The 23,967-nt window shown below is 46.2% G+C and overlaps 1 long non-coding RNA gene across 1 annotated transcript, besides 4 other annotated features; it reads left to right on the top strand.

Moving 5' to 3' along the window:
* Window positions 19-108: an enhancer, noted in NCBI's record as "active region_16129". NCBI's record gives its function as "activates an Ori minimal core promoter by ATAC-STARR-seq in GM12878 lymphoblastoid cells {active_cell/tissue: GM12878}" and the evidence as "EXISTENCE:reporter gene assay evidence [ECO:0000049][PMID:35858748]".
* On the top strand, window positions 78-1,497 carry PARTICL (promoter of MAT2A antisense radiation-induced circulating long non-coding RNA). Its single transcript, NR_038942.1, has one exon. It is a non-coding gene; the product is annotated as a promoter of MAT2A antisense radiation-induced circulating long non-coding RNA (long non-coding RNA).
* Window positions 179-388: an enhancer, noted in NCBI's record as "active region_16128". NCBI's record gives its function as "activates an Ori minimal core promoter by ATAC-STARR-seq in GM12878 lymphoblastoid cells {active_cell/tissue: GM12878}" and the evidence as "EXISTENCE:reporter gene assay evidence [ECO:0000049][PMID:35858748]".
* Window positions 789-878: an enhancer, noted in NCBI's record as "active region_16127". NCBI's record gives its function as "activates an Ori minimal core promoter by ATAC-STARR-seq in GM12878 lymphoblastoid cells {active_cell/tissue: GM12878}" and the evidence as "EXISTENCE:reporter gene assay evidence [ECO:0000049][PMID:35858748]".
* Window positions 11,584-11,775: a silencer, noted in NCBI's record as "fragment chr2:85754312-85754503 (GRCh37/hg19 assembly coordinates)". NCBI's record gives its function as "represses an EF-1alpha promoter that drives an FKBP-Casp9 reporter gene in an ReSE screen in K562 erythroleukemia cells {active_cell/tissue: K562}" and the evidence as "EXISTENCE:reporter gene assay evidence [ECO:0000049][PMID:32094911]".

Below are 23,967 nucleotides of genomic sequence, written 5' to 3'. Positions count from 1 at the left end.
CAGCTATCTTGAGCCGCTAGAGCTAGGAGAAAAATGCAGACGCGAGGAGACGTGGGGGATTGCTCTTCCTTGTTTGATGTGGGAGAAAAAGCGACTGGGGCTTGCTGGACCCGCTCCCCTGTGCGGTGACATGGCACCTCCCTTCCGACCGTTGGCCGGGATAGCTTTCCCGGAGGTCGCGTCCCCCAGCGGAGGCGGCGGGAATCGCGGAGGTTTTGTGCTGCGGCTGGGGTCTTTCTGGCCGTCCCGCCTCTAGATGCCGGGTGGCAGGGAGCCGGTGGCGGTCGGCCATGTGAAGGTGGCCATCTTGGCCGGCCAGCGAGGGCTCCTCACGGCCTTCCTTCGGCGTCCCTGCCCGGCTCGTTGCCGGCCCCGGGATATCTGAGGGGCGCAGGCCCACCTTCTAGTCGTTTCCTGGTGAATGGCTCTGCTGAAGATGGCCGGAAAGCAGATTAATGAAGGTGCTGCCATCGATTTAAACAATCGCCCTCCTGCCCGCTCCCCTGCGCTAAAGTTTCTGAGGGATCCTCACCCTTCGTGGTTCGTGGACTTAAAAGTGGAGGCAGCGCTCCAGCCTTTCCCTCCAGAGAGAAAGGAGGCCGCTCCCAAGTCCGTCCTTGCCCCGTGGCCTTCCTGTTCCTTTGAAGGGGGGGGGAATCGATGTTTCAATCCTCTGTTCAGGAGAATATGGAACGAACATTTCTTTTTTGGTGGGTGGGGGCTATTCGTTCCCTTGAATGTGCTTAAGCAGATCTCTTGACGGCGTGGAATGGGCTGTTTCATGAAGCTTTCACTTTAAAATGTCCACCTGCGTTTGTCCCAGTTTTGCCCAATAAAGGAATTACAGGGAAAAAGAGCGAAACAAAACTTGAGCCAGCAAGGAGTATGGAGTCCCGTTTGGAGGGAGCCCGCCTTGGGGGCGGGGGTCTCTGCAGCCTGTTCTGGGGCTGGGCCTCGGTGCAGGTCTGGTCGGGCTGGTGGCCTGGTGGCCCTGAGCGGAGCGCGTGACAAGAACGCCGGGTTTAATGAGGTTCTCAGGGAACGGCCTGCTCCTAGCATGGGATGTACTTTACGCTGGGGAGGTGAAGGAGACCCCTAGTAACAGTCTCCAGCTGCCTACTGCTGGCGGCAGTAGAACAAGGTGCATTCCCAAGAACAATCCTCTCCGTCGGTGCAGGAGGAAAGGTGGGATTTGCTAAAGGCTCAGTGGGAAACAAAGGAAGCACTTGGGCTGTGCTGGGGGCATCCACAAAGAAGATAAAGGGCTCCTCCCCAGACTCAGTGACCACATCCACGGTCGCTCAAAGCAGGCAGCAAGAAAAGGTTCGACCACAAAAGAGACAATAGGTGATGATATTTTTATTCGTTGCTTTTTACTTTTCAAGCTAACCCTTCATGGGAAAGTAACTGTATAAGACTATTAAATTTTTTTGTTATTTTTTAAAGGAGAATGCCAATTTATTAACTTACAATGTGTAATAAAATTGTCAACTGGAACAAAATGCGTGTGTAGGCTGGTCAGTGCATTATCTCCCAGCAGAAAAATCTATATGGGAAGCCAGAATATAACTAGAAGGTTATTTTATTAGGGAGTCAGAACAAGGAGCGTAAAGTCAATGATTGGCTCATTAAATCCTGATACCCCTGTGCTACCAACTCCACAGTGGGGCTAGGCCTGCCAAGGAGATGAGATTTAGCTGTACATAGTTGCTTACCTACTTCTCTCACTTGTGAATAGTGTGTAGGTGTAATACAGTAAGAGTAGGGGTTTGGAGTCACGACCTCTCTATGCATCAGTATCCTCGTTCTGTAAAATTGGAATATTAATAGTACATCATAGGATTGTTTCAAGGATTCAAATAGTGCAAGTAGAGTCTTTAGCACAGTATCTAGTACATAATTTGTTTTAATGTAAGCTGTAAAAAAATTAACTATATTTGCTGTGAATTACTTTTCAGTGGCTTTCAATTGCTGTCGGGATACGGACTAAAATCTCTACATACTCAAGGCCCCAGTGTGATTTGGCTGCTACTTCTGCAACCTTACCTTGTGCCACACTCTCCTTTCTGTGTTCTACTTGGATTTTTTAGTTAGTAGCAGTTAATTTTATTAATTTCATAGTATCAAAACAAAGGAGGACACATTTTCATTTATTTTATATTATTCGTATTGTCCCTTCCTCCCTTCCACAAATATTTATGAGCACATCTGTGAGTCAGACCCAGGAGCAAATGCTATAACAATCCTGGTCTCTGCCCACTCGGCGCTCTAAATGTGGGGAGATGCCTGGCTAACTCCTTATCCTTCTCACTCCAGCTCAGCTACCACTTCCTGGATGAAGCCTTCATCTACACAGATTTGTCACAGGGGCCTGTGTTTTATTTCATGGCACTAAGTGCAGTTTCAAATTATAGATTTGGTGATTATTTGATGAATGTCTCCAATTCCCAGTTAGGCTTGTAAGCTCCATGATAATGAGAAGGTGGGCTGTTTTGCTCAAGCTTTGTTACTGAATGCCTGGCACACACAAGGTGCTTAGAAATGTTCAAGAGGGAGAGACAAGAAAGGAAGGGAAGGAAACGGAAAATGAACGAATATAAAGATGGCAGAAGGGGGCGGGGCACGGTGGCTCACGCCTGTAATCCCAGCACTTTGGGAGGCCGAGGCGGGGTGGATCACGAGGTCAGGAGATCCAGACCATCCTGGCTAACACGGTGAAATCCCATCTCTACTAAAAATACAAAAAATTAGCTGGGCGTGGTGGCGGGCGCCTGTAATCCCAGCTGCTTGGGAGGCTGAGGCAGGAGAATGATGTGAACCCGGGAGGTGGAGCTTGCAGTGAGCTGAGACCGCACTACTGCACTCCAGCCTGGGCGACGGAGCAAGACTCCGTCTCAAAAAAAAAGATGGCAGAAGGAAGCAGAGAAATGAGAGACTCTGGCGATCATGTGAAATCAATGGAAAGAGGTCCTGCTTTGTTTTAGTCGTAAGCATTGTAATTAATAAAATTAAGACTTCTTTGTTAACAGGGAAGCACATGGCCATCCTGTTCTGACAGGAATAAGATTTCTGATTTCATAGATGCGTGTCCTAAGGGTGAACTAAACCAGGAGAAATTGTTGGTTTATTTCCTGTTTATCGTTAATGAATTTGTTGAATGTGAAGTGTTGTAAAGCACGTAGGAAAAATCTAATCACTGCCTAAAGGCTTCAGATTTCTCAAGCCAGAGAACATTAATGTAGCAGTAACCCTACAAAAAAGGCAAAGTTGGGATTGGATAAAAATGGTATTTGTGACTCAAACAGCAAATAAAATAACTCCTTATTAGCCTGTCAGTCATGGGGAGAGTTCCAGAAAACATTTGCAGTGCAAGAAGCTGTTGATGTGGCAGGAGAAAAGAGGAGGGTGACAGTAGGGATAGCAAAGAGCAAGTGAAGGTGTGGAGGTGTTGAGAAGGAGGTTCCTAGGCTGTGTGTCTTAAGAGCACCTTCTATGTGAAGACAGACCAAGAAGAAAGAAATGTAGGCCACGTCTCCAAATTTGTGGCAGTTCTTTAGGGCCAAAGCTTAGATATCTCGGATGGCCTCAGAGGCAAGCTAGTTCTAGTGGGATCAGAAACAAGTACTATGTGAACCCCCTCATTATTAGGCTTTTTGTATTTTGTTTTTATTTCTATGTTTTTCTCTTTTGATACTTAAATCTTTTTACAGTCCCAATAAAGAAGTCCTGAATGGAAGAATAGATATGGTACAGTGAAGAAGACACTGAAGGAGATAATAATATGATGACAATAGCTACACTTTATTGTGACAGGCACTGTTGTAATATCTACTACTCACAACAGCTCTATTTCTCTTCCTGTTTTACAGATGAAGAAACTGGCATGTTATTCGTCCATGTCACACATCAAATCAGTAGTGGAGCTAGGGCCTTGAGCCTGGTCTGACCTCTAAATTCATGCCCCTTCTTATAGCCAAACAATAAATACTGCATACTCCCTGAGGTCGTTAATATTAACAATTTGGTTTATATCCTCCCTTTCCTTTTTCTGTGAACACACACACGCACACATCTTACTATTCAGAGAAACATGGATTTTTTTTTTCTTAACAATTTTCATGACTGTCTCTCCAGGATACTATGTAGAGCTGTAAATCATTTCCTTCTCTTTTACTGTGGGAAAATATATACAACATAAAATAGGTAGCTCACCAAGGAGAAAATGCAAATTGCAATAAACATATGAAAAAAATGCTCAACCTCGTTGATAGATGTGATGTTAATATATGTGTGAATTTATATATGTTTTTATCCATGGTTCCTGGCTCATAACTCCCATAGCCCTTGTTATACAGTGTTTCGTTATAATGTTGAGAGTGTTAGGACTCAGGAGCAGGCCTCAGGAAACAGAATCTCTCTGACTTTTTCCTGCTTCTCTTTCACCTGCCCCAAGGCAGGACTCTAATCTTGCCCTGCCCTTCTGATCATGGGTCATAAGACCCTCATTCCAGAGAGGGTCCTACCCCATACCCTGGGACAAAGAATGCTGAGAGGACTGGGTTCAGAGAGTTTCTGGAGAGCTGAACAGGTGGAGGCTGACAGGAAAGTGAATAAGAACTCATCCACGTGCCAGGAGGGTGGCACACCCCAACTCCATGGTAACAGAAGCTCCTACACTTGGGACCCTCCCAGACCTCACCCTATGTATCTCTTCATCTGGCTGTTTGTTTGTATCCTTTAAAATAACCAGTAAAAATGAGCAAGTGCTTCCCTAAGTTCTATGAGCCACTCTAGCGGAAAAAAAAAATTTTTTTTTTTTGAGACAGAGTTTTGCTCTTCCACCCAGGCTGGAGTGAAGTGGCGAGATCTCAGCTCACTGCAGCCTCCACCCCTGAGTTCAAGTGATTCTGCTGCCTCAGCCTACGAGTAGCTGGGATTATAGGCGCCTGCCACCATGCCCTGCTAATTTTTGTATTTTTAGTAGAGACCGGGTTTTGCCATGTTGGCCAGGCTGGTCTTGAATTCCTGACCTCAGGTAATCTGCCCACCTCCGCCTCCCAAAGTGCTGGGATTACAGGTATGAGCCACCGTGCCCGGCACACTCTAGCAAATTAATCAGACCTAAAGAGGAGGTGGTACCATGACTGTGGTCTGTATGGATCTTCACCTTTACTCTAGGGGCAGGAGATACGTGGGAATGCTGTCATCTGCTCTCCTTGCAGGTGGTCCGGTAGCTGCACAGACAGTGACCCTTGCTGGACAAGTACCTGGTTGATAAAATTGCTCAAAACCTGCAAATATACTACACATGGTCCACTGCTGTAGTGAAGTGCCGGCCCCCTGTACCCCAGTGACTTGAAACTTTTTAAATATCTGACAAAATCTATGGATCTCCCTAGAAATCACACACACACATGGACAAACATTTTATGTATAATTTCTGAAACTTAACCATATATTGCAAGTTAAGAATCCTTGCTAGGGCCGGTGCGGTGGCTCACGCCTGTAATCCCAGCACTTTGGGCGGCCAAGGTGGATCACCTGAGGTCAGGAGTTTGACACCAGCCTGACCAACATGGTGAAACCCCGTCTCTACTAAAAATACAAAAATTAGCTGGGCATGGTGGTGCATGCCTATAATTCCAGCTACTCAGGGGGCTGAGGCAGGAGAATCACTTGAACCTGGGAGGCGGAGGTTGCAGTGGAGCTGAGATCACACCACTGTACTCCAGTCTGTCGGGACGACAGAGTGAGACTCCGTCTCAAAAAAAAATTTTTTTTTAAATCCTTTGGTATCTCTCATAAATTTAAATTCACATTCCCTAGTATCTGCAGTCCCACCTCTAGAAAGCTATTCTAGTCCAGGCACGGTGGCTCACGCCTGTAATTCCAGCACTTTGGGTGGCCAAGGTGGGTGGATCACTTGAGGTCAGGAGCTCGGGACCAGCCTGGACCAACATGGTGAAACCCCGTCTCTACTAAAAATACAAGAATTAGCTGGGCGTGGTGGTGGTGCCTGTAATCCCAGATACTTGGGAGGCTGAGGCAGGAGAATCACTTGAAACCCGGAGGTGAAGGTTGCAGTGAGCCGAGATCGTGCCACTGCGCTCTCGCCTGAACAACAAGAGTGAAACTCTGTCAAAAGATAAAGAGAGGGAGGGAGGGAGGGAGGAGAAAAGAGGAGGGGAGGGGAGGAAAGGAAAGCCTGGCGCGGTGGCTCACGCCTGTAATCCCAGCACTTTGGGAGGCCAAGGTGGGTGGATCGCGAGGTCAAGAGATTGAGACCAGCCCGGCCAACATGGTGAAACCCCATCTCTACTGAAAATACAAAAAATTAGCCGGGCGTGGTGGCACATGCCTGTAATCCCAGCTACTTGGGAGGCTGAGGCAGGAGAATCGCTTGAACCTGGGAGGCAGAGGTTGTGGTGGGCTGATTTTGTGCCATTGTACTCCAGCCTGGGCAACAAGAGCGAAACTCTGCCTCAAAAAAAAAAAAAAAAAAACGAAAAAAACAAATTTATATATTTTGGATATGGAGTCTCGTTTTGTCACCCAGGCTGGAGTACAGTGGTGCAATCTCAGCTTACTGCAAGCTTTGCCTCCCAGGTTCAAGCGATTTTGGTGCCTCAGCCTCCCAAGTAGCTGGGATTACAGACGCCCGGCACCACGACCGACTAATTTTTTGTATTTTTAGTAGAGATGGGGTTTCACTATGTTGGCCAGGCTGGTCTCAAACTTCTGATCTCAAGTGATCTGCTCGCCTCAGCCTCACAAAGTGCTGGGATTACAGGCATGAGCCACCATGCCCAGCCACAGGTGTATATTTTTTTGGTTCATAGAATAAATTCTGGGAATCTGCACGCCAAACTTTACAATGAGTATCTCTGTGGGTGGGATTTATACTTTTCCTGTACTAACTCGTGTCATTTGAAATTGTAAAAATTTGTAAGAATTATTTCAGCAAGTTAACCAAAAAAGATTAGCAGCAAATGTGAGTTATCTCTAGGGTATGGAGTGTGGTGAATAAACAGGCTATAGGAGCCAGGCAGTAGTGGTTCATTCTAGTGAGCTCCCCCAGTGCAAGGAAAGCAGGCTTTTTTTTTTTTTTTTTTTTTTGAGACATGGTCTTTCTGTATGTAGTGTTGCAATCTTGGCTTACTGCAACCTCCTAGGCTTAAGCAATCCTCCCACCTCATCTTGCCAGGTAGCTGGAACCACAGGTGCATGCCACCACACCTGGCTAATTTTTATATTTTTTGTAGATAGGGGGTTTCACCATATTACTCAGGTTGGTCTCGAACAACTGAGCTCAGGTGAGCTGCCTACCTCGGCCTCCCAAAGTGCTGGGACTATAGGCATGAGCCATCATGCCTGGCCAAAGCAAGCATTTTCTATGGCACACCTTCTATGGGGAAGCTCCCAAATACCAGGTAACCTGCCTCAGAGGTGCCATCACCACTGCAGAGCCCTCTGTGAAAAGAAGGACAGCCAACCCATGCTTCATTGTGTTCATTCTTCTGAAGTCATTTGTCACCTGATGGACCACTGAACTTTTTATTTTATAAATATGCAAAGTATACACAATAGACACCCCCACCCCCACACATATCGTGGATACTGTCACAGTCCCAGCCTAAGCTTCAGTGTCCTGAGATACTCTATATGCAGGGGCAATACTGTCCTAGGCATTCCTTTAGTTTGAGAATCTTACTTGGAGATTGGACTACACTCATGGTGTCTGCAGTCTGGCTGGGCCTTGGGAACTACGTGTCATAAGTTACCTGATGGGTAGCCCTTGTGGGCGTGGCCTGGTGTGTACAGACTCTGCGCTCTCCCTGGAATCCTGCCCATGCCAGGCCTACTGCTGCCACCAACACTGGCACTGCCAGGCTCTGCCCCTTGGCCTCCTGCCATGATTTTTTTTTTTTTAAGATGGAGTCTCTCTCTGTTGCCCAGGCTGGAGTGCAGTGGCGCCATCTCGGCTCACTGCAAGCTCTGCCTCCTGGGTTCACGCCATTCTCCTGCCTCAGCCTCCCGAGTAGCTGGGACTACAGGCGCCCGCCACCATGCCTGGCTAATTTTTTGTATTTTTAGTAGAGACGGGGTTTCACCATGTTAGCCAGGATGGTCTCGATCTCCTGACCTCGTGATCCACTCGCCTCAGCCTCCCAAAGTGCTGGGATTATAGGTGTGAGCCACCGTGCCCGGCCTGTGATTTTTTTTTTGTGATGGAGTCTCACTCTGTCACTTAGGCTGGAGTACAGTGGTGCAGTCTCGGCTCACTGCAACCTCTGCCTCCTGGGTTCAAGCAATTCTCCTGCCTCAGCCTTCCGAGTAGCTGGGATTACAGGCACCCACCACCATGCCAGGCTAATTTTTGTATTATTTTTAATAGAGATGGGATTTTCCCATGTTGGCCAGACAGGTGAACTCCTTACCTCAGGTGATTGGGCTGCCTTGGCCTCCCAGAGTGCTAAGATTACAGGCGTGAGCTACTGCACCCAGCCCATGATCTTGGTTTCTTAGAAATGACACCAAAAACATAAGCAGCCAAAGAAAGATGAGCTAAATTGGATCTCATCAAAATTAAAAACTGTGTTAAAGGACACTGTCAAGAAAGTGAAAAGACAACCCACAGAATGAGAGAAAATGTTGACAAATCCTGAATCTAACAAGGGTTAACAAGGATGTGGAGAAATTGGAACACATGTACACCGCTGGTGGGAATGTAAACTGGTGCTGCCGCATTGGAAAACAGTTCTGTAGTTTCTCAAAAAGTTCAACATAGTTACTATATGACCCAGCAGGCCCACTCCTAGGTGTATGCTCAAGAGAGCTGCAACACATGTTTACACAAAAACTTGTACACAAATGTTCATAGCAACTTTTCATTGTAGTCAAAAGGTAGAAGCAACCAAATGTCCATCAACTGATGAATGGATAAATATAATGTGGTATATCCATATAATGGAATATTATTTGGCCATAGAAAGGAATAAAGTACTGATACATGCCACAACATGAATGAATCTTTTTTTTTTCTGAGACAGAGTCTCCCTCTGTTGCCCAGGCTGGAGTGCACTGGCATGAACTTGGCTCACTGCAAAATTCTGCCTCCCGGGTTGAAGCAATTCTCCTGCCTCAGCCTCCCAAGTAGCTGGGATTACAGGTGCCTGCCACCATGCCTGGCTAGTTTTTTGTATTTTTAGTAGAGACGGGGTTTCACCATGTTGGCCAGGCTGGTCTGGAACTCCTGACCTCCGGTGATCTACCCGCCTTGGCCTCCCAAAGTGCTGGGATTACAGGCATGAGCCGCCGTGCCCGGCCAACATAGATGAATCTTGAAGACATTATGCTAAGTGAAAGAAATCAGTGACAAAAAGCATACACTGTATAGTTCCATTTGTATGAAATGTCCAGGCTGGGTGCAGTAGCTCATCTTGTCATCCCAGAACTTCGGGAGACCAAGATGGGAGGATCACTTGAACTCAGGAGTTTGAGTCCAGCCTGGGCAACATGGTGAGAACCTGTCTCTACAAAAAATACACAAATTAGCCAGGGATGGTTGGCACACACCTGTAGTCCCAGCTACTAGGGAGGCTGAGGTGGGAGGATCACCTGAGCCTGGGAGGTTGAGGCTGCAGTGAGCTGTGATTGTGCCACAGCACTCCAGCCTGGGTTACAGAGTGAGACCCTGTTTCAAAAAAAAAGGCAGAATAGGCAAATCAAATCCATAGAAACAAAAAGTAGATTCGTGGTGGCCAGGGGCTGGTGGAAGAAGGGAGTGGAGAGTAACTGCTAATGGGTATGGAGTTTCTTTTTGGAAAGATAAAAATATTCTGGAATTAGATAGTGGTAATGGTTACAAAACGCTATGAATATACTAAACATCACTGATACACATCAAAAAGGTGCGTTTTATGGTATGTGAATTATATCTCAATTACAAAAATTGTCTTTTTATGTTTGGAAAAATAAGAGAAAACGACCTATACTGCCAGCTCGTTAGCAAAACTACTGTTAACATCCCTTTTGGGTTTTTAAAAAGTATAATTTAAATATATTTATAGGTAAATAGTGTAAATGTATTAGTTTCATCAAAAGTTAAATCATTGTATTATTAGCATTTTTCTGTCATCACCTTGTCTTTATATTCGTGATCATTAAGCACTCCGTGATAATAAATTCAAAGGATTTTCTGAGCAATTCCTGAGTGTTGGACATACAGGCTGTTTGAAGTTAGTTTTCCATTACTTAAACAACACTGTAAATGAACTTCTTGTGCATAGAAGTTTTTTTTATATTTGGAATTCTTTCTTTAGGAAAGATTTCCCAAAGTAGAGTAATAGGTCAGAGTAGAAGTACTGGGTCAAAGCTTATTGATTTGTGCTGCTGCAGTTATTTCCCAAAGAGACAAGTGGCTTTGGACCTGGTCAGTTCCCTTGCCACCTGTTCCTGATGTTATGCACCAAATGGGAGAAGGGAGAAGATGGTGACTGCTCCAACTTGAAAGCTCTGGATGATCAAGGAGTTTCAAGCAGTCAGATGGTCAGCCAAGCACCAATGGACAGAAAGCACCGGGAGCGATCCCTTACTTGAGCATTTTAGGGCTGTTCAATCTTCTTTGATTGATTGAGGCTCCTACTTGTGAAAAGGTGAAATTCATGGGGTTCTATCACTCTATTAACTTCCCTAGGACAATAGACAATGGTTCAGACACCTGGACTCATAAAGTAACCACCATACAGGCAGAGGATGTGAACAGATTACAAGAAATACAAATAGCCAATAAGTATGTGAAAAGATATTCAACCTCACTCATAGTCAAAGAAATGTAAAGCAGAATGAGTTTCCACTTTTCATCATATTGGAAAACAAATAAAAATTTTGTAATGCCCAGTATTTACAAAACTATGGAGAAATAGACACCCTCATACTTTGTTGCTGGGAGTGTACAAACAGATTCAGGTCTTCTGGAGGGTAATTTAGCAGTGTCTGTCAACATTTTGAGTGCAGGTACTGGTTGATTCAGCAATTCTACTACTAGGAATTTGCCCTAGTGGTAATTTTGCTGGCAAAATTATGCCAAAATCATGTACAAGGATGTTCACTGCAACATTATAATAACAAAAAACTGGAAAACACTTAGACATCCATCAGCAGGAGACTGGTTAAATATATCCATGTAATGGAAAAGTATGCAATCACTGAAATAGGAGGTAGAAGTATATATGTTGATAGGGAAACTTCTAAATACGTTATGCCAGAAAACAATATGCAAGGTAATATGATCTCATTTGTGTTAGATTAAAAAGAGGTATACAGGTATATGTAGACTTTTCAGGAACGATTCAAAACAAATGGTGGTAGCGTTTGGAGAGTGGCTCTGGGGACTGGAGGGAGAAGGTAAATTTTGCTTTTTGTTTGACACTTTTCTATATTATTTGAATTTTCTATACTAGGTGAATGTAAGTCTAATTTTTAAAAACGTATTTTTAAAATAAAAAATTTTTTTTTTGAGACAGAGTTTCGCTCTTATTGCCCAGGCTGGAGTGCAGTGGTGAGATCTCGGCTCACTGCAACCTCTGCCTTCCGGGTTCAAGCGATTCTCCTGCCTCAGCCTCCCGAGTAGCTGGTATTACAGGCATGCACCACCATGCCTGGCTAATTTTTGTATTTTTAGTAGAGACGGGGTTTCTCCGTGTTGGTGAGGCTGGTCTCGAACTCCTGACCTCAGGTGATCCGCCCGCTTTGGCCTCCCAAAGTGCTGGGATTACAGGCGTGAGCCACCGAACCCAGCGAAAATAAATAAATATTTTGAAAGCAGACAAGGAACATGGACAGACAACGAAGAGAGAGAAGAGGAATCCCTCAGATGGGAGATTATGGTTTGTTCTGACATAGGACAACCTTGTTTTTTAGCTGCATTAATGAAAGCATTGTGACCAAATCATTTGTTTTTTCTGAAGACCACCAGGGAAGCATCCTGGAAGATGGAGAGGAGATAAGAGACTAGAGTCGAGGGGACCAGTAAGAAGATTTCTGCAACAGAGCAGGGCTCAAATTTAAGAGGTGATGGTGGGGGTGGAGGGGCAGCCCCAGATAGGAAAAGTTATTGAAAAGACAAACTGACAGCGTTGGTGCCTGATTGGATGAGACGAATGAGAAAGAAGGAGGGATTAAGGAGACAGTGCAGGCGTTTGCCTTGGGTGACTGAGTGGATGGCAATTCTGCCCAAGGGAACACTCAGAAGGAGAGAGAGAGTTCAAGACCAGAAAAGGATGGGGAAGAAAATAATGAGTTCAGCTTTGAGAATAATAAGTTGAGGCCAGGCACGGTGGCTCACACCTGTAATCTCAGCACTTTGGGAGGCCGAGGCAGGCAGATCACCTGAGGTCATGAGTTTGAGACCAGCCAGACCAACATGGTGAAACCGTGTTTCTACTAAAAATACAAAAAATTAGCCAGCCGTGGTGGCACGAGCCTGTAATCCCAGCTACTCGGGAGACTGGGGCAGGAGAATCGCTTGAACCCGGGAGGCGGAGGTTGCAGTGAGCCAAGATCACGCATTGCACTCTAGCTTGGGTGACAAGGGCAAGACTCTGTCTCAAAAAAAAAACAAACAAACCAAAACCGAACAAAAAATCCCGGGCGTGGTGGCTCACACCTGTAATCCCAGCACTTTGGGAGGCGAGGCAGGTGGATCACCTGAGGTCGGGAGTTTGAGACCAGCCTGACCAACATGGAGAAACCCCGTCTGTACTAAAAATACAAAATTAGCCAGATGTGGTGGTGTATGCCTGTAATCCCAGCTGCTCGGGAGGCTGAGGCAGGGGAATCACTTGAACCTAGGAGGCGGAGGTTGCAGTGAGCCGAGATTGCACCATTGCACTCCAGCCTGGGCAACAAGAGCGAAACTCCATTTCAAATAAAAATAAAAATAATAAATAAATAAATAAAAATAAAAAAAGAAAATGGTGAGTTGAGGAACATGCTGCATGTGAACACATTGAGTAGATCTATGGATCTAGTGCTCAAGAATTCTGGGTTGAAGATGGATGAGGTAGATGAGACGTAGAGCAGTTTGCTTTTGAAGACAGCAACATCAGAGAAAGTGGCAGTTGAAACTCGATATGAGGAAATTGTGTAGGCCAAATGAGTGGGACTCTAGAGATCACCTACCCTTAAGGGTTGGGCGGAAGAAGAGGAACCCGGCAGTAAGGCTGAGAAGGAGTGATCAGACCTGGGAGAGGAAAACCAGGAGGGAGTGGGGTCACAGATGACTGTTCTGTGCTCCTGGCTGGACACTGGGACTACAGGTGTGTGCCACCAAACCCAGCTAATTTTTGTATTTTTCTGTAGAGATGGGGGTCTTGCCATGTTGCCTAGGCTGGTCTTGAAAGCCTGGACTCAAGCAATCCGCCTGCCTCAGCCTTCTAAAGTGTGGGATTACAGGCATGGGCCACTGTGCCCAGCCAAGAATGGCTTTTTAAATGGTTAGACTTGAACATGAACTTCCTGGTGAAACTATGGTCACATACATCATGACTGCAGACAGAAGGGGCAGGTAGGGCTCCCTGCCCTTCTCCCCTCCCAGTGGAACTGCCTTCCTTCTTGAAAGCAGCCTCCTGTAACCTCTGTGGGCCCCTCCACAGTAGGCAAATTACAAAGCATTTCTGTCGGGAGCTTCCTTCCAGTTCTCTCCCTTCACTCTGGGACCCTCTCCCCTCCACCCCAGGATGTCTGTCCAGCATTGCTCTCTCCTCCCAATGTCTCAATACCTTGGCCTGCTTGGAACATGCCTCTGGTGGGGGCAGGGTGGGGGAAAGGGTAGCCACGGCAGATCCGACCCCCTAGGTAGCCAAGGGTCCGTTTAGATTACCCTAAAGTTTGTGTTTTGTTTGTGTTTAGACAAAAACCGTGAGGCAGGAGCAATGACATTTGCAGAGCACACTGTAGGGAAGAAAATGCAGGAGAAATCCTTCTCTAGCTCTGTCTGTCCAATTTGTAACTTTAGATCTCAGAAAGATGAAAAGCCGAGACAAATAAATCTGGGTGGCTGAATGCAGAAAAAGGTGTTTGTTGGGAGAAGCAAAGAGCTGCCGACCTTGCAGGGTACACTGTGCTGCTGGCCCTGTCACACGATGCTTTATCTCTCCATCAGCGCCTGAGGCCTAAGCTTGGTGGCTGCAGAATCACAAAAAAGGCAGTGGCTGAGCTTAGCCTAGAAGGCTGTGGAGTGCTGGGCCTGCTGCCTCCCCATCCCTCTGCCCTGCCTCTCGCTCTCTCTGCTCCATTTCCTGCCTCAGAACCCTGCTCTCTGCTCTTGTCTCTTTTGGTTCCTCTATTTATACATTTATGTTTTTGGAAGAGGGCTAGAGGGAATCTAAGGTTTAGGGAGCTGCACAACTCATGGGCAGATCCCAGAAGCCTGGCTCTTCTCCACTCCAGCAGGCAAAATTCATGTCTTTTCTTTCTTTTCCTGTGCTGGACAGAGCCAAACACACACTAACAGCGTTAACACGATAAATATCAGCAGTCCTGACCTTTCTCTGTGGATCCTGGAGGCTCGCTGACTCCCAAGCTCTGAGTTGCTTGTGCTTAAAGTGGATTAGCACTTACCGTTGGCTGCAGGGCCCCGCACTGGGGTTTGATGGGAATCAAAATAGAGATTACCTTATTTGACTTAAAAAAAAATTTCCACTTGAAAGATAGAATTCCCCAGAGAAATCCACTGGAGCTTATACATATACAACTTTAAATTGGATTTTAAAAATAGTTTGCCAGCTGTTTGCTAGGTCGTGTTTTAGGCTCTTGTGCCTGATTGATGTTGGGTCCTTTGGGAAACAAGGCCAAGAGGGGATTGAGGGGCTGCCAAGCCTGCAGGGTCCTGGATGCCTGGGGACTTTCTCAGGAGCCCTGGTAGCTGTTGCCAGGGCCTTTAGAAGCCCTCAGATCCTGGCACCGAGGTCTGCCTCTCACCCAGAGAAAATGATCACAGAGCTCGAACCACCTCCCCCAAACCTCGCCTCATCCCTGCACTGCCCTTCTCAGCCAAGGTCCAAAAGAAAGAAACGAAGGAGGACTGTTCTCAGCTGGATGGATCTTTCACACTCTGTGCAGCTAAATGTTTATTTTAGTTCCTTGTATGACCTTCAGGTGACCTTTCATCCATCCCCATCTGCCTGAACTTTCATCCATCTCCTTCCTCTATTGCTGCCTGACTGGTGTTCATCGCTCAGGTCTCAGCCAGAGTGTCACCTTCTCAGGGAAGCATGAGGGGCAGCAGAGTGTGGTGGTCAGGAACACCAGTGTGTCAGGCTTTGAATCCTGGTTCAGCACTTACAAGCTGTGTGACCTTATGGATGGTCACTCGACCCCTCTGTGCCTATCAATTTCCTCTTCTGTGAAATGGGGATCATGATAACACCTACCTCATTAGGATTGTTGCACGGTGAGGATCCAGTGAATTCCTACATGTTGTATGGAATATGTAAAATGCTTAGAATATGGCCTGCCATGCAACAAACATCTGCTCTTACTACTCTCTAAAGCAGGGGGTCCCCAATCCGTCACCCCAATACCAGTCTGTGCCCTGTTAGGAACCAGGCTGCACATTGGGAGGTGAGCACAGGCCAGTAAGTAAAGCTTTATCTGTATTTACAGCCACTCCCAGTACGCAAACAGAGTTTGCGTTACCACCTGATCTCTGCTTTTTGTCAGCTCAGCAGCAGCACTGGATTCTCATAGGAGCTGGAACCCTATTGTGAACTGAGCACGTGAGGGATCCAGGTTGTGTGCTCCTTATGAGAATCTAATGCCTGATGATCTATCACTGTCTCCCATCCTCCCCATATGGGACCATCCAGTTGCAAGAAAATAAGCTCAGGGCTCCCACTGATTCAACATTATGGTGAGTTGTATATTATTTCATTACATAGTACAATGTAATAATGATAGAAATAAAGTGCCCAGGCTGGGCGTGGTGGCTCACGCCTGTAATCCCAGCACTTTGGGAGGCTGAGGCGCGTGGATCACAAGGTCAAGAGATCGAGACCAGCCTGGCCAACATGGTAAAACCGCATCTCTACTAAAAATACAAAAATTAGCTGGGTGTGGTGGCATGCAACTGTAGTCCTAGCTACTCGGGTGGCTGAGGCAGGAGAATCGCTTGAACCCGGGAGGTGGAGATTGCAGTGAGCCAAGATCACGGCACTGCACTCCAGCCTGGCGACAGAGCGAGAGTCCATCTCAAAAAAAAAAAAAAAAAAAAGAAAGAAAGAAAGAAAGTGCACAATAAGTGTAATGTGCTTGAATCATCCACAAACCATCCCCCTTACCAAACTGTCTATGGAGAAATTATCTTCCACAAAACTGGTTCCTGGTGCCAAAAAGTTTAGGGACCACTGCTTGCTCTAAAGTACGTATCCCAGTGGTAGTGGTGGCTCACGCCTGTAATCCAAGCACTTTGGGAGGCCGAGGTGGGATCACTTGAGTCCAGGAGTCCAAGACCAGCCTGGGCAATACAGCGAGACCCCATCTGTACAAAAAATACAATAAATAAATGAAGTACATGTCCCAAGGCCCAGTTGCCTGTGGCTGCCCTGTGCTCCTCCAGCCTCCAGTGCTTTTGCTGTGCAGCATCTGTCCTTGTTTATCTTTATTGCCTGGTTTATGAGATGCTGAAGAAGTATTTGTGACTACAATAATGAATGATTTTTTTTTCTTTTTTTGAGACAGAGTTTGGCTGGAGTGCCAGTGGCATGATCTCACTGCAACCTCTGTCTCCTGGGTTCAAGCGATTCTCCTGCCTCAGCCTCCCACGTAGCTGGGATTACAGATGCCTGCCACCATGCCCAGCTAATTTTTGCATTTTTTGTAGAGATGGGGTTTCACCATTTTGGCCAGGCTGGTCTTGTACTCCTGACTTCAGGCGATCTGCCCGCCTTGGCCTCCCAAAGTGGTGGGATTACAGGCGTGAGCCACTGTGCCTGGCCTAAATGAAATATTTTTAAAAATTGCTAGGCTGGGTATGGTGGCTCACACCTGCAATCCCAGCACTTTGGGAGACTGAGGTAGGTGGATCGCCTGAGGTCAGAGTTCGAGACCATCCTGGCTAACATGGTGAAACCCCATCTCTACTAAAAATGCAAAAATTAGCTGGGCACAGTAGTGCGCACCTGTAGTCCTGGCTACTCGGGAGACTGAGGCAGGAGAATTGCTCGAACCTGGAGGGTGGAGGTTGCAGTGAGCTGAGATGGAGCCACTGCACTCCAGCCTAGGTGACAGAGTGAGACTCCATCTCAAAAAAAAAAAAAAAAAAAAAATTGCTAAAAGACAAATGTGATCCAGAAGAGAGAGAAACTCGGGCACTTGGGTCATTTTTCTCCATCTATATTTGCTCTATATGTAAACTTGGTCCTTTTGTTTGTTTGTTTGTCTGACTGTTAAACAGAGAGAGTTGATGAGTTTTGAGTTCTGGGATTAGGAGGATAACGTTTTGTAATTTTTTTTTTTGCAGGAGACCTCTGCCACATCTAGTTTTTCAAAATTTAATTAAATATTAAATGCTTGCAAAAGAAGAGATCACATGAACAGAGTATAAAAACTGGACACCCTACTACCCACACCCAGTTTAAGATACAGATTACAACCAACACCGTTAAAGCCCTTTTGCATGCCCTTCTCCATCCCAGCCCCCTCCTAAATTTTGTTTATAATGATCTCGCTTTTCTTCATAATTTTACCTCCAAAATATGCATCTGTAAACAATATGCTGTTTTTGCAAGCTTTTGAACATTATATAAAATAAATCATACTGCATGTATTCTTCAGTTTGCTATTCTCACCTCTCCACATGATGTATGTGACATCTCTTTGCTGCAGCTGTAGCTCTCTAATATTCCACTGTGTGACCCTTCTGCTGTTTTCTTCTCCGTTCTCCTATCAATGGACATTTGGGTTGTTTGCCTTTTTTTTTTTTTTTTTTTGAGACAGGGTCTTGCTCTGTCATTCAGGCTGGAGTGCAGTGGCAGGATCATGACTCACTGCAACCTCTGCCTCCTGGGTTCAAGCAATCCTCCCACCTCAGCCTCCCAAGTAGCTGGGACCCCAGGCGTGTGCCACTATGCCCGGCTAATTTTTCTTTTTTTTTTCTAGACGCAGGGTTTCACCATGTTGCCCAGGCTGGTCTCAAACTCCTGGACTCAGTGATCCACCTACCTTGGCCTCCCAAAGTGCTGGGATTACAGGCGTGAGCCACCATACCTGGCCTTGAGATTTTTTGCTATTACTGGCAAGTGCTGCTATGTTTTTTTTGTTTATTTGTTTGTTTTTTTTGAGATGGAGTCTCGCTCTGTCACCCAGGCTGGAGTGCAGTGGCACAATGTTGGCTCACTGTAACCTCCACCCCTGGGTTCAAATGATTCTCCTGCCTCAGCCTCCCGAGTAGCTGGGATTATAGGCACCTGCCACCACGACCGGCTAATTTTTGTATTTTTACTAGAGACGGGGTTTCACCATGTTGGCCAGACTGGTCTGGAACTCCTGACCTCGTGATCCACCCGCCTCGGCCTCCCAGAGTGCTGGGATTACAGGCATGAGCCACCATGCCTGGCCACACAAATGCTGCTATGAACATTTTTGTGTGTGACTACTGGGGTCCATGGTCAAGAGTTTCTCTGGGGATATTTCTGGGTCCTAAAGTTTGCACATTATCAGCTTATCTTTATGATGTTCGATTGATTTTCCGGAGGAGTTCTCCACCTTCCCATGTAGTCCCAAGCCTCAGGCCCTGCTGCATTCATCTTTGGGGTCTATTAGACCTGTTGGAAAGGGACTCTGAGGCAGGGCCAGGGAGAAGCTTGTCAGCTTGTACCACAGTGGCCACACTTCTGGGAGCAAAAGGTGACAACTTGGCCTAGGTGATTAGGGGGATCTCCTCTGTGGTGTTCTCTCCATCTCACAGGCACCACTCAGAGCCATACAGACAAGAGCAAACTCTGTTGACCCAAAGCCAAAACATCCCAGTGAAAACTAAACAGGTATCTGGAAACAAGCAGTGTTTTTTACTAATCCACTTATTTTCTTTTCAAGCTAATAAAGGTTTTAATATTTCCTCAACTAAGTGAAATTGGAATTTTAAAAAATTAATTTCCTTATTATAGCTTGCCTTTAAAAATCATTGCTTTGGCTGGGCACAGTGGCTCATGCCTGTAATCTCAGCACTTTGGAAGGCCAAGGTGGGAGGATCACTTGAACCCAGGAGCTTGAGACCGGCCTGGGCAACATAGTGAGACCCTCGTCTCAATTTTTTTAAAAGTCATTGTTTAACTGGGCATGGTGGCTTGTGCCTGTAATCCCAGCTACTTGGGAGGCTGAGACAGGAGTTGCTGGGACCTGGAGGTTGCAGTGAGCCAAGATTGCACCACTGTACTTCAGCCTGGGAGTCAGAGCAAGACTCCGTCTCAAAAAAAAAAAAAAAGAAAAACACCTCATTGTTTTAAAATTCAAAATTGTTTTGATGGTAGTAGGCTTTCAATAAATATTAAACTTTTTTGAGCATTTTGTTACTTCAGTCAGTAGGATTGTTCAGGGATCTATTTGCCAAAGCCAAAAGTAGAATCCTTTCTTCTATTTTTTTCTACTCTACACATTGTCTTTATAATAATAATTTAAAAGAAGGATGTAATAGTGAAAACTAGTGAGTGAATCCCTAAGGCCTTTCGTGACTTTCTCCTGGAAACTGACCTATTTTGATACTGTCAGCTCGATAGGGTATCCTGGCATAACTTTTCTGTCTAGGAAGGAGCTCAGTTTATTGACCACTCATACATCTTTTTGAGAAGGCACATTGATCCTTCAAGAAAATGATCCTCCAGAAATTGTGATTGGTACAATTTGTAAGCAAAACCTCTTGTTAAAATCAGTAAGTTAGGCCGAGAGCGGTGGCTTATGCCTCTAATCCCAGTACTTTAGGAGGCTGAAGCAGATGGATCACTTGAGGCCAAGAGTTCAAGACCAGCCTGGCAACATGAAAAAACTCCATCTCTACTAATACAAAAATTAGTCGGGCGAGTTGGCCCATGTCTGTAATTCCAGCTACTCAGGAGGCTGAGGCACAAGAACCGCTTGAATCTGGGATATGGAGGTTGCAGTGAGCCAAGATCATACCACCATACTCCAGCCTGGGTGACAGAGCGAGACTCTGTCTCAAAAAAAGAACAAAAACAAAAAAACCCAAAACAGTAACTTATAGAAATAAGCTAGTATTGTGCAGAAACCTAGTTACACCTTGCCTAAGCTAAAATCTTAGTCACCTTTGGGTCACTAGCACACTCTTTTTCTCCGATCACATGCAGTCATAAAATCTTGCCAATTCATCTTTTCTGATGTTTCTCCTGCCCATTCCTTCATTGTTTTGGGGCCTTTTCCACGTCATGCCTATACCAAAAGGGACTGAAACTTAAAAGTTCCCTGTCTGAGTTCCTCCCCATTCTAACTCACCATTCCTGGATTAATCTTTAAAAAATAAAAACTAGGCTGGGCGGGGTGGCTCACGCCTGTAATCCTAGCACCTTGGGAGGCTGAGGCGGGCGGATCACCTGAGGTCAGGAGTTCGAGACCAGCCTGGCCAACATGCCGAAACCCTGTCTCTACTAAAAATACAAAAATTAGCCAGGCGTTGTGGCATGCGCCTGTAGTTCCAGCTGCTCCAGGGACTGAGGCAGGAGAATTGCTTAAACCTGGGGGCAGAGGTTGGAGTGAGCTGAGATCGCGCCACTGCACTCCAGCCCGGCTGATAGAGCAAGACTCCATCTCAGAAAAAAATAAATAAATAAAAATAAAAACTAAAAGAATAGCAACAACAAAACCCACATCTAAAAACTGTTTTTCTCATGATACCTCGCTTCTTCTCCACTCTCAAACTCATTGGCTTCCACAGAGTAAAATTCAGATCATTTAGCCAAGGCACATGAATCTCTCCCCAAACTCCTTTGACTCCTATGGCCATCTCTGCAGAAGCTTACACAAACACACCCCATTTGAAGGACAGTTTCAGGGCTCAGGACCCCTGCAGCTGGCGAAAGACCATGGGTTTCAAGTGCCTGCTCTGTGACAAGGCTTTGCCTTCCCAGGTTATCATCCCCTCTCTGCACTCCCAGCCCCGCAACATGCCACGTTCTTCAGACACATCCAGCCTGTCTTGGCCTCCACAGCTTCATTTTCTTTTTGTTTCTTTTTTTTTTTTTTTTTTCTTTGAGACGGAGTCTCTCTGTTGCCCAGGCTGGAGGGCAGCCGCATGATCTCGGCTCACTGCAACCTCCGCCTCCTGGATTCAAGCGATTCTTCTGCCTCAGCCTTCGGAGTAGCTGAGATTACAGGGACGCGCCAGCATGCCCCGCTAATTTTTGTATTTTTAGTAGTGACAAGATTTTACCATATTGGCCAGGCTGGTCTTGAACTCCTGACCTCAGGTTATCCACCCATCTCAGCCTCCCAAAGTGCTGGGATTACAGGCGTGAGCCATCATGCCCTGCCACAGCTGCACTTTGGGCATCTCCCTGCCCAGAACCCACCACTCTGCTGTTTCCAGGTCCCAACCACCTTTCAGGGCCTCTTCTCATCTAAACCTTCTCTGACTACCTTGGCCTTTGTGCATCTCCCCTTCCTCTTGACTTCTGTCCTGGCCCAGAAAATACAGGTCATTCTGTGCAGGCTGCCCAACTGGATTGCCAGGCCCCAGAGGGCAGGGATGATGGCGATCAGGTGGTGCAGGCCCTTCCACATCTTCTTTGCCTGTAGGTGTTGCCTTTCAGGACATGATGGTGAACATGATCATGCAGGAAAAATAAATAAATGAAAAACAAACATTAATACAAGAATCATTCTCTCTTTTTCTATTGCAGATTAGGCCCTCCTTCTGTCTCCCCCGACCCTCGCCCCCCCACCCCCAATCTGCTACAAAATATCCAGTATAACTCCTTTATCCTTTCGTGTGTAAAATAAGGAAGCTAAATTCTAGAGAATAGAGAAGTTGAAAAAGTAAACTAATACATTTCCTTTAATGACTCAGCCCAGGAAAGGTAAGCAAACAACTTGGACTTCAGACAGAGGTCGATAGCTGCTGATGGAGGTGATCCAGGCACTTCCGAGGCTGTGCAGGAAGGGCCAAAGCCGGTGCCTGGGAGAGCCGGATAGGTTTCTGCTGCTAAACCAAGTCTGCAGGGTGAGTTGATAAAGGAATGCTGATTCCCAAAGAAACTAAGGGTGCCAGATGGGACCTCTGTCACCATCTCTGAAATACCAGTGGGTTAATATTGCATAAGCACGAATGCTTTTTAAAAAATGCACATACACACACATATATATGTCTATACAATATATTTTTTTGTAGCTGGAGTGTGAGGAGTGGGAATCTGTGGTTGTGAATCCATAGGGTGCTGAGCAGAGTCCCCATATGATTTGGGACCTGTAGTGCCACGACACTCACCTCACAATAGCACAAGCTTCTTGCTCTGAAGGGTAGATAAACGATGTTTAAAGGGAGAGCATTGCTTGATTTTACACCTTTGTTTTAAAAAAATATGATAAAGGGAGAACAAATATTATTGTGGGAAGGACTTTTCTGTGAGAGGAGTAAAACCACCCATCCTGGGCTACACCGCAAGTATCTAGTTGTCTTTAAAGGAGTGAAAAAAAATCTGCTTCGTGTTATTTTTTTCCCCTATATTCTTGCCCCTTCATCCTGCCTATCTCTGCAAAACCTATTCCGCCCCCCACCGCCCTTTTTTTTTTTTTTTTTGTAAACAGAGACTGGCTTTGTCGCCCAGGCTGGAGTGCAGTGGCACTATTTCAGGCCACTGCAACCTCTGCCTCCTGGATTCGAGCGATTCTCCTGCCTCAGCCTCCTGAGTAGCTGGGACTACAGGCGCACACCACCACACCCAGCTAATTTTTGTATTTTTAGTAGAGATGGGGTTTCACCATGTTGGCCAGTCTGGTCTCGAACTCCTGACCTCAGGTGATCCACCCCCCGCCTCAGTCTCCCAAAGTGCTGGGATTACAGGCTGAGCAAACTTGCCTGGTCTTACCTTGGTATTGTTTTGCTAAAAAATGCACAGTAGTCTTCTATTTCTTAATGCATTGAATGCAAACTTTATCAAGCTTGACTTTGAAGACCTGGGCAGCCCACCCAGTCCTAACTTCCTAGGGTCATTTGCCCCACCCCACAACCAGCCTTCCCCCTGCACAGGTGCCATGTCCTGTCTCGGACCCAGGCTCCACTTGAGGCTCAGCCTCTCCCTTGCATCCTGAAAAGCTTTTTGTGTGAACTGCACTAATTTTCCTCATGTTACACCGAGCTCCCTAGCTATAGAGTAAAGTCCTTGAAGGCAAGACCTTTGTCTTACTCGCCCCTGAGCTCACTTCTGTGTCTGGACCGTAGCCAACATAGCATGGCTGAAACCTCTTAAAAGCTAGGTCAGGGTGGCTCATGCCTATAATCCCAGCACTTTGGGAGGTCGAGGTGAGCGGATCACCTGAGGTCAGGAGTTCGAGACCAGCCTGGCCAACATGGTGAAACCTCATCTCTACGAAAAATACAAAAATTAGCTGGGTGTGGTAGCGCACACCAGTAGTCTCAGCTACTCAGGAGGATGAGGCAGGAGAATCGCTTGAACCCAAGAGGCGGAGGTTGCAGTGAGCGAAGATCTCGCCACTGCACTCCAGTCTAGATGACAGAGTGAGACTCGGTTCTTAAAAAAAAAAAAATTGCTAGGTCAATTCAATTGGGACTTCTGGCCCTCTGCCTGGTCCCCTCACTGTCTTCCTCAAAGACTTAGGGCCATTCCCCTGTGAATCTCAAATCAGGGCAGCCCTCAGTGCCTCCTCTCCATATCTTAATCAGATACGAATAATCAGAGATGACAGTATTTAAAGAAGCCTTGGGGGATCAATTACAAATAG

Source organism: Homo sapiens, chromosome 2 (genome assembly GCF_000001405.40).
Source record: "Homo sapiens chromosome 2, GRCh38.p14 Primary Assembly".
Lineage (NCBI taxonomy): Eukaryota > Metazoa > Chordata > Mammalia > Primates > Hominidae > Homo > Homo sapiens.
Note: the sequence above shows the minus strand (reverse complement) of the source record. Positions and strands in the feature narration are given on the sequence as shown.